Genomic DNA, 15539 nt, shown 5'->3' with positions numbered 1-15539 from the left:
TGACTTCAAATTACCCTACAAATCTATAATAACAAAACCAGCATGGTACTGGTATAAAGCAGACACATAAACTAATGGAACAGAATAGACAGCCCAGAAATAAATCCATATATCTAAAGTGAACTCATTTTTAACAAAGATATCAAGAACATACATTAGGGAAGGGACAGTCTCTTCAATAAATGGGGTTGGGGAAAAACTGAATGTCCATACGCAGAAAAATAGAACTAGACCCCTATCTCTTAACATATACAAAAATCAAATTAAAATTGATTAGCCTTAAATCTAAGACCTCAACCTATTCAACTATTAAAAGAAAACATTGAGGAAACTTTTCAGGACATTGATCTAGGCAAAGATTTCTTGAGTAATACCCCAAAAGGACAGGCAAGTAGACAAAAAGTAGACAAAGTTTATCACATCGAGTTAAAAAGCTTTTGAACAGCAAAGGAAACAACAAAGCGAAGAAACAACCAACAGAATGGAAGAGGATATTTGCAAACTATCCATCTCATAAGAAACTAAAAACCAGAATATATAAAGAGTTACATCAGCTCAATGGGAAAAAAAAAAAAACTAGTAATCCAATCTAAAAAATGGGCAAATAATCTGAATAGATATTTCTCAAAAAAGACATACAAATGTCAAATAAGTATATTTCAAAAAGTGCTTAACATCATTGGTCATCAGAGAAATGCAAATCCAAACTACAATGATACATTATCTCACCTCAGTTAAAATGGCTTTTATCACAAAGAAAGGCAATATCAAATGCTGATGAGGATGTAGAGGAAAATGAAACTTCATACATTGTTGGTGGGAATGTAAATTAATACAGCCACTGTGGAGAACAGTTCAGAGGTTCTTCAAAAGCACTGAAATAGAACTACCGTATGATCCAGCAATCTCACTGCTCAGTATATGCGCCCCCCCGACCCCCTTCAAAAAGGTAGTGAGTATATCATAGAGATATCTGCACTCCTGTGTTTGATGCAGCAATATTCAAAATAACCAAGATTTCAAAGCAACCTGTATCCATCGACAGATGAACAGGTAAAGAAAATGTGGTACATATACCCAAAGAACTACTATTGAGACATAAAAATAATGATATCCCACCATTTGCAGCAACATGGATGGAAGTGGAGGACATTACATTAGGTGAAATAAGCCAGGACAGAAAGACAAACCATGCATGTTCTCATTTATTTGTGGGAGCTAAAAATTAAAGCAATTGAACTTAGGAGATTAGAGTAGAGTGATGAGTTATCAGAGATTGGGAAGAGTAATGGAATGGGGTGGAAGTGGGGATGGTCAGCTGGTAAAAAATATAGTTATATAGATTGAATAAGATCTAGTATTTGATAGCACAATAGGGTGACTACAGTCAACAATAATTTATGGTACATTTAAAAGTAAAAGTGTATGGTTTTCTGTCCTTAAACACCACATGTTCTCACTCATAGGTGTAAATTGAACAACGAGATCACTTGGACAAAGGGCAGGGAACATCACACACTGGGGCCTGTCGGGGGGTGGGGGGCTAGGGGAGGGATAGCATTAGGAGAAATACCTAATGTAAATGATGAGTTGATGGGTGCAGCAAACCAACATGGCACGTGTATACCTATGTATCAAACCTGCATGTTGTGCACATGTACCCTAGAACTTAAAGTATAATAATAATAATAAAAAGAATCGAAAAAAAAAGAATTTGACTTGAAAACCATCATTAAAATATAACCCTAATAGTTCAATATAACATAATTAAAGTTTTGCTGTAATTTTAGCAGAAGCAGGGCTGAAGTTTATATCTGCCAACCAAAAATGCAGATAATGTTGATTTATATGGACTAGAGATAAAGTGAAAATCCAAATAAAATTTTTTGGTGGGCAAAAAATAAATGAATAAATGAAAAGTGTATAACTGGGTTGTTTGTAAAACAAAGAAAGGATAAATGCTTGAGATGATGGGTGCCCCCATTTACCCTGTTGGGATTATTATGCATTGTATGCCTCTATAAAAATATCTTGTGTACCCCATATACATATGTGTGTGTGTCTATATATATATATATAGACACACACATATATATAGACATATATATACATATATACATCTATCTATATAAATACTGACTGTGTACCCACAACAAATATAAAAAATAAATTTAAAATACATTTAAAAATCAGGACTTGGAGCCATATAACTTTTGGATTGAGTCCCATATTTGCCACTTTCTTGTATCCACACTCTTCTGTAACTCTGAGCCTTAAGTCCCAAGATCCCCTTTTTAATGCAGAAAAAACAAAATCAGTATTTTGAACCATTTGACTTTGGGATTGAGTCTACATTCACTAAAGTTTATGTATCGCTAATCCCCAAATCAAAAAGATTCCAAAATCTGAAACTTTTTGAGCCCCAATATGATGCCACAAGTGGAATATTTCACACTTGATCTCACGTACACACACTTTGTTTCATGGATAAGGTTATTAAAATGTTCCACAAAATTACTTTTTAGATATGTATATAAGGCATATATGAAACATAAATGAGTCTCATGTTTAGACTTGGGTCCCATCCCCAAGATAACTATTATACATATGCAAATATTTCAAAGGTCACAAAAATCTGAGGTCCAAAACACTCTAGTCTCAAGCATTTCAGATATGAGATATTCAACCTGTACTTAGTAGTATCTGAACCTTTATGCAACTTTGGGCCTTAATTTCCTCATCAATGTAATGGGAATAGTAATAGTACTTATCTTTCATGATTTTAACTCTTTACACAGTTAATAACAAAGTGGGAAGGGTGCTTGCAGTTCCATGCTTTATCTTTGCTATGGAATAAAACAGAAATGTAAACACCTATGTGTCTTGGTTTTAGGCTCTTTTGTAATGAGTGCCAGTATAATAACTTGTACAGCACATTGTCAAGAAAACTCCTGCCCCAAGAAAAGCTGCTTATCTGGTTTGGCCTTCCTAGAAACCAGTATTTTACCTGTAGTTTTCATTTGAGATCCACCTGGCTAAGATATTAATCTATAGTACTTTTTGATGAGCTCGAAGTTTTTGTTTTTATTATTTTTGAAGCAGCTATATGTACATACCATGTAATTCACTCATTTCTGCGTGCTATTTTATGATTTATAGTAAATTTACAGAGTTGTACAACCATCGCCACCATCTAATTTTAGAACATTTCCATAACTCCAAAGAGGAAACTTGTGACCATTTGTAATCACAATCCTTTTCCACCTTCAGTCCTTGATAATGGCTAATCTGCTTCTATCTCTACAGAATTGCTTCTTCTGCACAATTCATATAAATAGAATCATGCAATATGTGACAATTTGCATCCACTTTTTTATGAGTTTTTTAATAGATGACTTTATAATGACAGTAAAAATATTAATTGAAAATGACTCATCAGTTCTCCCAATTCTGAGTTCTACCTATTTGAATAAATACAAATGAACAAGAGCCAAATGAAGATATAAGCACATTATTAGCCTAAGGATCTTAATTTGGACACCAGAATAGAATTAGTTCTCTTTTTTTCAGGTTTGCAACATGGGCTGTTTCCCCAACCCCAGCTTCAGGAATGGGTGAAGATCTTTAGAGCTTCAAAGTTGAACTGAAGAAATACTGACTCTCACACATTCCACTTTCCCTGAAGACTCCAAAGTGTCAAAGAAGATGCTGGCCACACTAGCACCACTCACATAACAATTAGAATGCACAAACAATAATCTATACTCAGGTGGCTAGCTCATATAAAAATCATATTTACATAAACCAGTATGTAGTCCTATCAGGACACATACTTCCAATGCAATAAAAAGCCAGAATGTATTTGGAGAAAGAAATATTAAAGACAGAGGAAACCATTTTTTCAGCCACATGTTTGTAATTTATTATCTGGAAATTTAACCACATTTGGGAAAATTTTTGTGTCACTATGTCTCCCACATTCAGGGCAGAAAGCCATTTATGCATTGAACTGTGTTTCGGACAGTAGCAGTTTTTAACCCTGCTTTCTTTTAAAAAAAATTCTTATACATTTAGGAGGTTCAAGTGCAGTTTTGTTACATGGATATATTGCATAGTGGTGAAGTCTGTGCTTTTAATGTAACCGTTGCCCATATAGTATATACTGCACCCATTAATTTCTCATTCTTTACCCCATCCCACCCTCCCGCCTTTCCAAGTCTCCAATGTCTATTTTTCCACTCTGTATGTCCATGTGTGCACATTATTTAGCTCCCACTTATAAGTGAAAACGTGTGGTATTTGACCTTCTGTTTCCGAGTTATTTTGCTTAATACAATGATTTCCAGTTCCATCCATGTTGCCCAAAAAAAAAAAGATTTTTTTTGGCTAAGCAGTATTCATATGAGGTGTGTGTATGTATATGTGTGTAGATATATATCACATATGTATGTACATGTAACATTTTCTTTATCCAGTCATCTTTTGATGGGCACTAAGGTTGATTCCATATTTTTGCTATTGTGAATAGTGCTGCAATAAACGTATGAGTGCAGGTATCTTTTTGATATAAAGAATTTTGTTCCTTTGTGTAGACACTCAGTAGTAGAATTGCTGGATTGAATGGTAATTCTATTTTTTTTCTTTGAAAAATCTCTATACTGTTTTTCATAGCGATTGTACCAATTTACATTCCCATCAACAGTGTATAAGCATTTGACCCTCTTCTATCTTCTTTGAAAAATGTAGACATATGCAATGTTGGTACCCCAGTTTCCAGGACTTACTTGAGCCTCCTTTCTTGCTTTGCTGAACCCTGCAAGTGTGGAACATTATCATTTCCATATTCATGTTTAAGTCTTGTATTTCCAGCCCTTCAAATTGAACTGACTCTGAACTCCATCTAGAAGACAGATGTCCTATGATTGCAAGAGGACTTTTTTTAATGTTGAATGTGGCTGCCATATTTTCTACCTCCATCCCATTAAGACCATAAATTATTTTTAAATTTCTTAGTATCATAAACATTGGCTATTACCATAAAGCTTCCCGCATAAGGCCACTGATAAGTAATTATCTAAGTAGGCACTCTTACCTAGGTGCTCAGGTGCCCACACATTTCTTTGTTCCTAGTTTGTTAGAGCTCTTTGGGCCTATGCTTCTAGAGACCAAGAAGACCCTTGCTACATATTTCTTCTCAAACCTTTTTCCTTCTTTACCATGTACTCCCCTTAAACTTCAATAACCTTCACTATAGTTTTGTCATTCCAAATTCTAATCTCTGTAGGATAGTAGTCATCTTCACCCCGGCTTCCAAACAGGATGCAGAGCTAACAGAAAAATGAACTAAAAGGCTAGATACCAAAGCAAAGACTGCGCATTATTTCTCCTTAGCTTTTATGACCAGGGCTGGCTTCAGCAAGTACTTGGAGAAATGAAGCTGCTATTCTATTCTAAGTTTTCTAAGAGAGATTCCTAATGTGAGGGAAGAAATCTGTATGTATTTATTCATCTCAAACCAGAGCCCTTCTAATACAAAGTCTTGGACAAAGCTTTCTCAATCCTTGAAAAACATTCTTTTGCTAAGTACAGCCTCAGATTTGTGTCTGAGGTCATACTAAAGATATGCCCTTGCAGCCTAGTAGTCTGACCTTTAAAACTAGCATGCACCTCTTAAATACAGCATGTGCTCTGGGGGCACTGGCCACTACAGCGAAATAAAATGTGTTCATCTTCCCATGAGATACATTGTTCCTCTAATATTAATTCTTACTCATATTCTAAAAGATTCCTACTTGTGAACCATGTGTTATAATAAGAGGCACTAATTGTTCCTGTATCATCTCCCACAAATTCTAGTCAATTGGAAAACCACAGAAGTGTTCCAGTTGGATAAGCTTACAATATCAGATTTATTACTAGAAAAGCTGAATTGAGAATATGGTGAGGATTTGGGGACAACATTAGGATTTCTTTGGTGTGTAGTTACATGTGCACCCACACAGGCATGCATATCTACACACACACACACACACACACACACACACACACTGCTTACCCACATAAGCCAGGTAGAGAATATGGAATAAAGAGAAGTGAACTTTGCTTGCATCTGCTAAATGAAAGCCAAGTTCTCTCACTTCACAAACAGTGGAAACAATATAAACCCCATCTAGCCTAGGAATAAATAAATAAATAAATAGCATCAAGAAAGCAAAAGAGACAACTTTAGGGGAATGTTACATATGAGCCATAGTCTTTAACACAAATAAATGATTTGAATAAGTTTTGCAACATTTACGAGGAAGAAAATTAAGAAAACAAAAACAAAAACAAAACAAAACAAAAAAGACTGACTCCTCAAATTTTCTCATTTGCCTGGATAGATTGGTGGAAATTTTCTTCTTTATAGGTCAAAGTAAAAAAAATATGGAGAGAAGAGGAAAAACGATATTTCCTAGAGTCTACATCCACCCTGTGGAAGGACGACTTAATATCATTCACCTTACTTTATGAATAATGAACGGTGAAGTTTAAGAAGCATAGAATGGGGGTTACGTGTACAGGCTCTTGAGCTATATTTTTCAAAGACTACCGCTTCCACCTACCATCTGAGAAAACTCACGCAAACCATTTAACCACTTTAAACCTCAATTTTCTCTGTAAAGTGATAATGACTACTTTCTGGGTATTAAGTCAGTTCGTATAAACTACTTAGCAAACTGTTTAAAATGTTAGTTATTTTTATTATCATTGTATATGGCAGCTAAAAAACTATTATTTTTAATTAATTAATTAATTAATTAATTTATTTATTGAGATGGAGTCTTGCTCTGTCGCCTAGGCTGGAGTGCAGTGACGTGATCTTGGCTCACTGCAACCTCCGCCTCCCGGGTTCACACCATTCTCCTGCCTCAGCCTCCCCAGTAGCTGGGACTACAGGCGCCCGCCACCACGCCCTGCTAATTTTTTGTATTTTTAGTAGAGACGGGGTTTCACCGTGTTAGCCAGGATGGTCTTGATCTCCTGACCTTGTGATCCGCCTGCCTCGGCCTCCCTAAGTGCTGGGATTACAGGCGTGAGCCACCGCCTCCGACTGTAATATTATTAATAAGCATACCTTCATCGTTGAATAATTGGCACGGCTCTTAGCTTTATTTCTCATCCAAGGTAAACATGCCCTCTATAGTCAGCTATTGCTGATCAGACTATATTATTATTTACTGATAATTCTCAGTCTTTTCATCTCCATTTGGCCCATACTGTTGCAGAAAATACTTGCCTCCTCTAAATACTTTGCAAATATTCTTCTGAAGTACCCTAGAAATAAATTAGCAGCACTCTGTTTCTTGGAAGGTTTCTATATTTCTACCATGCTATGATGCCAAGAGGAGTTTGTATAGCCCTGATCCTTGTGTCAGGAAAAATAACTTCCAGATTAGCACCCATGAGGAAAGGATTCCCGGTTGGGTGAGTCATGATTTCCATGGTTCTTCTTGCATGCTACTATCAAAAATAACTTCTTTAGCAACACAGGTTTTTGAACTTAACCGTTTCTTTGCCTGCTATATAAGCCTGTAGTTCTCAAACCCTGTCCATGGGCCAGCTGTGTTAGAATCACCTGGAAAAGTTTTTCAAAATTTAAGATTCCCAGTTCTCACTTCCAAAGAGCCAATAGGTCATTATTGGAGGTATGAGGGGAGATGCCTAGCTCTGTATGTTAAAGATACTCTTTCAAGATGCTAACTGGAGACAGTATTTGCAAAGGATGTAAAAGGACTAATTTCCGTATACTAGAGCTGTTACAAAAAATGCAGAAAAGACTAACAATATAAAAGAAAAATGAACCAAGAATATGAACAGATGGCACACACATGTGCACATACACAAATGTCCAATAAATATATGAAGAGATGCTCAACCTCACTCATAATTAAAGAAACTCAAGTATAACAGTAAAAAAATCCCAATTTTCACTATCAGAATAGGCCATAATTAAAATTAAATATTACTTCTGTAGGCAAATGTTTGGTGAATCAGTAACTCTCATTTCTTCTTAGTGGGATTTCAAACTGATAAAATTTTGGCAACCAATTGCAACATCTATCAAAATTTTAAATTCGAGTGTCTTTGGAATCAGCAATCCATGTATGGTAATATTATCTCCAAATATACTCAGAAAGTATGTAAAGTATGTGCAAATATGTTAAAAAGTATGTAAAAATATGCATAAAGATATATATAGGTCAGACACAGTGGTTCACACCTGTAATCCCAGGACCTTGAGAGGCTGAGGCAGGCGGATCATCTTAGGTCAGGAGTTCAAGATCAGCCTGGCCAACATGGTGAAACCCCGTCTCTACTAAAAATATGAAAAAAAAAAAATTGCTGGGCGTGGTGGCAAGTGCCTGTAATCCCAGCTACCTGGGAGGCTGAGGCAGGAGAATTGCTTGAACCTTGGTGGTGGAGATTGCAGTGAGCCGAAATCATGCCATTGCACTCCATCATGGGTAAAAAGAGTGAAACTCCGTGTCAAAAACAAACAAAAAGAGATAGATAGATAGATAGATATAGATACTTTATATATTAATACATTTATTTTCAAATATATTTTTTCTGTAAAAAATGATAATTGCCACCTCTAGGTACTAAGTCAGTTCATATAAAGTAGCTAGCAAAATGCTTTAAATGATAGCCATTATTATCATTATTATTACTCTTGTACATGGCAGCTATAAAGCTATGTAACAGTATTAATAAAAATGCCTTCATTATTTAAAAATTGGCATGGCTTTTAGCTTTTATATATACATAAAATAACCATTGCAGCTTTCGTCAAAATAACAAAACAAACAAGCACAACACTCACCTGCAACAAACAACAAAAACAAAGAGTCCTGGTTAAATAAAGTGTGCAGCCGTATATTGGCATGCTCAAGAGGCACTGAAAAGGCCAGGCACGGTGGCTCATGCCTGTAATCCCAGCACTTTGGGAGGCCGAGGCGGGCAGATCACAAGGTCAGGAGATCGAGCCCATCCTGGCTAACATGGTGAAACCCCGTCTCTACTAAAAATGCAAAAAAAATTAGCCGGGCAGACTCCCTCTCAAAAAGAAAAAAAAAAAAAAGAGAGGCACTGAAAAGAATGAAGTAGATCTCTGAAGCTACTGAAATCCACCTCCAAACTATTACTAGGTGGAAACAAGTAAATTACAAAATAAAATGTATAGCCTGATCTTATTTGTGGTGGTGTATATCCAATATACCCCTTTGTACCTCTTGCATTTTTTACTACAGAGATACTTAGTTTAGATTTTAACTTGTAAGAAATCTGCCCTGGTGAGTTTGGTAATTTGCTAGGTTTGGAAATTACTATTATGCAATCCAATCTGATTAAATACAACATTTGTTCTAGTTAATCACATATATGGTTAACAGAGCTATCTCACTAGGTTGGCTAAAAAGATTAAATAAGCTAATATAGGAAAAGGCACTATATGAATTCTAAGCACTGTGTAAATTCTTGAAAGCAATTTAAAAAATTCTAAGCACTATGTGTTATTGTTATTACATTCAAAAATTGTTTAACACATAAAATACTTAGGAGTTCTTCAAGCATATACGAGAAAAGAGAAAATTTATGGTAAAGAAAAGATCCCATTCAACAGACATATGGATGCATAGGGGAACATGGCTTGGTCAGGGAAATGGGAATAGTTCCGTGTAATTGACACATGGAGATGGTACTGTCAACTTTTCTTAAAATTTTTATATAATAAAATACACTTCATACTATTGGCCATATTCTAATCTTTTTTGATAATGCTGAAATTGCTTTCATATCCTATAATGCCATGGTTTCATCTTATGCATATTGACCTAATTGTATCAAAGAAGCAGAAAGGGCTGATCTAGCCAGTGATTAGGCTGGTGGACAAATCAGTATTCATGAGATCATTGGAACAGATTCTGGAGGACTTTTTGTTGTTGTTTTTCAAACAAATCTATTAGGGGAAAACCAATGACTATATTTATTACATGCTGATACTTACATTATACATTTAGTCATCTGGACACAATGAGCAGTAGAAAATAATTAGTAATAAATAGAGACAGCATTGTGGGAAAAAGACAATGTAGTGGTAGAATATTTGTGAGACTAATTATGTTTATAAGTAAAATGTATTTTCCATCTTTTTTTCAGCCCATTAGAAAACGTTTGACATTGAAAAAGCATTTTCAAATGTAACTCATTTTTGCTTGGGACACTTTTTATTCCCAACTCATATAAATTATTATTTCCTTCCTCTCCCTGTTCCCTTCTGCCTTTATTTTGGCATTGTTAGGAGAGCAGTTAAATGTTTGGTCATGAATATGTGCTTTGTGGCTGGAGTCAATTTCTGTTACTTTTTCATTTAATAGTGTTGTGTCTTTTCCTTTCAGTTTTCTGTGACTTTACCAAAGAATTTTTAGTTGTAATTCACTTTGTGAAAACACTTACTACTTGGGTGACTCTAGGTTTTGCATTTTATGATCAAAATCTGCAAGTCAGGTCTCATAACCATTCCTTTTTTCTTGAGTGAAGCAGTCATTAGATGGTTCTTGGCCAAACCAAAATACTTTAGAAAATACATTTTTAAATTCTTATTACAGATTATTCATTTGTTATGTTTCCCAATATTGCTTGCCCTCTTTCTATATGAAAATGGGTAAAAACTATAAATGTATAATAGCAATTCTACAATGATGTTTACTTATGTTTACCAATCAGCTGCTATTATCTTGAAAATGAGTCTACTGCCTAGAGAACTAAAGCTATTCAGTGTTTACCTTTGATTCTGTGTGTGTGTGTGTGTGTATGTGTATATATATATATATTCATTTATATATTCCTTTTATATTCTAAAAATGGTTTTTAAGTTGTTCTGCTTCAATTAACTGTGCTCTTTGATTATTGAAAAACAAGGAAATAAACACTATAGTAGTCTTTTCAGAAGGTTTTAATTAAAAAGTTCTATTTTAAATTCTATGCACCTCCCTCCTCTCTCTTTCATATCACTGTTCACTAACAAAATTCTACATAAGGATGTTTTATATTAATATGCATTTAAACCAATCCTTGTTTAGGAATCTTTATTATGACAGGAGATGTAATTGGCAGTCATTTCAGGATTTTTTTTCTCAGATCTTCTTGAAATGTCATGGTTTGTCTTGAGGTACAGAAATCTGTACTGGCAAAGGGGATATATTTTTCTTATTTTAAAATACCAACTAAAAGGATTAAAACATTAAAGACAGAAAAATAGTGTTAACATTGAGATCTGAGCATACATTCTATAATGTAATCTACATTATAAAGTTAAGACACTGGCTACTTTGGAGCTAAATTCTGCTTCTCCACACACATACACATTCTATACCCACTTTCCACCCTAATTATCTGTATATCTACCTTAATCTTGCCTCCTTTGGGATTATTTGAATTTATTTTAGTAAACCTTTTTAATTTTTTATTTCTGGATAAATTATGTACAGTATATCAGCAAATGGGGTTTTCAACTGGGCATATATAGACAGAGCAAACTGGGGCTAACATATACGTAAGGCTCTAGAAATACAATTCCTAGGGACACCAAAAGTTCACAAAGTTAAAAATCATTTGTATGAAATAAGCCAGATACAAAAAGCCAAAACTCATTGGTAGTTGTTAACTCAATTGAGCCCAACCCAGCCACCTTGGTAGTTGAGGTATACCCTGGGATGAATGAGGTCTCCAACTCATCTTTTATTATAAAATGCTTATGAGTCAGTAAAATGAGGAAAATAAACTTCAGTTTGTTTAGAGAATTTCTTAGGACAGAAATACAGAAGAGTAATGTCCCGAAACAGATGTCAAGCATTGGTATACACAAACAGCCCCAGTTAATTTACAAACACTCTGAGAAAACTTATGGAGACTAAGAAATACTTGAAAGGGAAAAAGATGTATCCTGAAAACATACTAGATTCTGAAATTACATTAATGAAGACCTAAAGTTAGTGAATGCAATGTAACCTTATTATTTTATAAGGCTTGGTGAGAAGAGTGGGCATTTGGCTAACACATACAGCAATATGCCCAGAACACTGTATTGGTTAGATTACTGTTTAGACTGCTGTATTAATCAAGATTCAGTTTATAATTTTATATTAAGAAACTCTAAAATATAGTTGATTTTTTTCCTCATTGAGATTAATTTATTTATTTCTCCCCAAAACAGCTTAAGTAGGTAGTCCATTGCTAGTAAGGCAGATTAGTGGTGTCAAAGATCCAAACACTTTTTTTTCATTTTTGTTTCTTTGCCATCACAAGGGCTTGCTTCAAATTGAACATGACTTATTATCAATTCCACATTTCAGCCTGTGAGAGGAAGAAAAAGAGAAGGGGAGAGAGATAAAGCTTCTTCTCTTTTAAGAGATAATCTAGAAGTTGCATAAATGTCTTCTGCTTACATTTCATTGTCCAGAACCTAGTAATAGGACCACAGCTAACTGTAAGGGAGGTTGATAAATGCAGTCTGTAGCTGATTAGTCATGTTACCAGCTAAAGCTTTGGTTATTATAGAAGATGATATAAAGAAATATTGTGCAGATTCTTTTCACATCCCAAACTATTACCTTCAGTCTCTAACAGATGCCAGTGTATCAGGTGCTTAGAACTTAATGTTCACAGCTCTGCAAAGCACACATTTAATTGATAAAGAACCAGATATACAGGGGAGTTAAATGACTTTCCCAAGCCCACATAGAAGTTATATGACCAGAGATCAAATAACATTCTATCTAAAGCTAAGTATAGCCTGTGATCTTCCCAGCGTGACACCCTCAAATAAATGTGGGGGTGACAGTCTGCTTGGTAAATTTCATTGTTCATGAATCATTTCTAATGTATTGTGATATTCTGATATTTAAGAGTTAAAAGGAAGAGGATGTGAACTTCTTACCACTGGAGGGGAAACACTACTCCCTTTCTTTTCTTTTTTTCTTTCTTCTTCCTTTTTTTTTTTTTTTTTTTTTTTTTTGAGACAGGATCTCACTCTGTCACTTAGGCAGGAGTGTAGTGGCACAATCACAGCTCACTGCAGCCTTAAATTCCCAGACTTAAGCAATCCCTCCTCCTCAGCCTCCCGAGTAGCTGGGAATACAGGTAGGCATGCACCACCATGCCCAGCTGATTTTTCTATTTGTTGTAGAGATAGGGTCTCACTATATTGCCTAGGGGAAACAGCTCCTCTATTTTAAAGCCCTTTGATAATGTGCTTAAGATGCAAAAACAACATATTCAGATTCTTTTTACACTCTTAAGAACCTAGCATGATACTAAACACTAATCAGAAAATCAGCCTGCACACTTCATAATCATATAAGCCAAATACCTGTGATGACTGTCATTTTTCTCACTGTTAGTAATGCCAGCATGGAGGAGAGTATGAACTTGACTGTGAGCTCTTTAAGGGAAGAGATATTACCTAATTTATCTCTGCAACTCCAATGACTAACACACCTGGCCCTTAGTGAGGGCTCATATTTGTTCCTTGAACTGAGTTGAAGATCAAAGTTTAAGACAGCAGGGAAAGAATGTATTTGTGTATCCAAATTATTGCAAAAAATAACCTTTAATAGGTATTTTCTGACAATGCAAAATTTATTACCTTAAAAAATGAAATAACACTTTTAATTTTCATTTGCTGAATCCTCAGTAGAGTTCATTTTGATTCATCCAATATGTATTTTAAACAGGTTTTAATTTCTAGTATTCCAAGTGTTTTGCTTGTTTTTCATTTTTAAACAAAATTAATTTTCCGTTCCATATATTTTTTGATTATAGGAAGATATGCTTTTGTTTCTTTTGACAACTATATGGTGCTGATATATTTTCCTCTGCCTCTACATTTTGGTGATGATTTTTCAAAAATGTAATATATTCTTATCAAATAATGACTAAAACTTGAAAAAGAATCAAAGCCAAAAACAGAATCTTTATTTTACATTACATAACACATGCAAACGAAAATAAAAAGGACATAATGGGTGGGAAAGATCAACAATGTTGTATAAATATTTATTATTTATTTTACTTATTTTATTTGCATTCCATTTCATTATTCTCCCACATTTGGTCATACATTTATTGGTTTATTATGTAAAAAGAAGTGCAGTCCAGACTGGTACTTAAGAATACTGGTACTTATGAATTCAGCTTTGCTGCTGATTTACAGGGTATTGTTCATGAGTCATATACGCTCCAGGCCTGTTTCCTGATTTATAAAATGTGTATGTATTAGTTTCCTATGGATAGGTAATAAATTGCTACACACAATACATGTTTATTATCTCCTAATTTCTAAAGTCAAAAATCTTGTCACTGCTTAGGTGGGTCCTCTGCTGAAGATCTCACTAGCTTGCAGTCAAGGTACTGGCTCCGCTAGAGTCTCATCTACGGGTGTAACTAGGGAAGTAGCTGCTTACAAGCTCATTCTGATACTTAGTAGCGTTTATTTCCTAGCGGCTGTGTGACTGAGGGACCCAGCTTTACATCGACTGTCACTGGAGGCTGCCCTCAGAGGCTGCCCACAGTTCCTTGCTATGTGAGCCCCTCTACAGTCAGTTTACAACATGACTATTGACTTCTCCAAGGAAAGCAAGAGAATTTTCTGGTCTGCAAAGATGGAGTCTTAGAGCTAAATGTAATCATGAGAGTGACAGCCCATCACCTTTGCTACATTCTGTCAGTTAGAAGGAAGTCACAATTTGCACTTCATTCAAGGGCAGTAACACCTCCCGAAGCTATACCGAAGTTGCACTCATTGGGGGTTATCCATGGGTAGATCTGACACAAGGGTATTGAAACACATAAACTTTATGTGTTCCTCCAGCTGTATTATTTTATAACTATTGTGGAAATAATGAGAATCATCTGAATGTTAATTTTAAGTTACAGCCTCTGAGCTCTTAAGGTTTAGAAAGTTCTCTGACTTCCTTACAGATTCAGGAGTAATAAAGCTTTGGTACCTACCATTTTTAAAGAGGTCAAAATGTAAGCAAAGGATTCCTTACTGGAAAGAGCCAGAGACCTAAGAGAAAAGAAGAAACCTAGCTGAAGTATACCGAGAAAAGCCCAGGCTTGGCTACAAGAGAAGCAAATGCGGGTACTATAAGCAAAAACTGGGATAAAGATCATAAAGACAAGGGTGAAACTGAGCTAAAAGCCAAATCAAAATCAGTGAGAGCTGGAGGGGGAGAAGGGTGTTTTGAGGTGAGCTCCACAGAATCAATTAATTTTTATTATTAGCCTGAACGAAGTACCAGATACAGAGATTGTGTAAGCTTAACCCAGTGATTCTCAACTTTGCCTACACATTAAAATTAGCTGAAGTTCATACAAATTCAAAGTCTAGGTTACATCCTAATCCTATTAAGCCTGAATCTCTTAAAAAAGGACTCAAGTTTTAGTATTTTAAAAATACTTCCCAGGTAATTTCAGTGTGCAGCAAAGATTGAAAA

Source organism: Homo sapiens, chromosome 12, assembly GCF_000001405.40.
Source record: "Homo sapiens chromosome 12, GRCh38.p14 Primary Assembly".
Taxonomy (NCBI): Eukaryota; Metazoa; Chordata; class Mammalia; order Primates; family Hominidae; genus Homo; species Homo sapiens.
The sequence above is the reverse complement of the archived record's forward strand: the minus strand, read 5'-3'. Positions refer to the sequence as shown.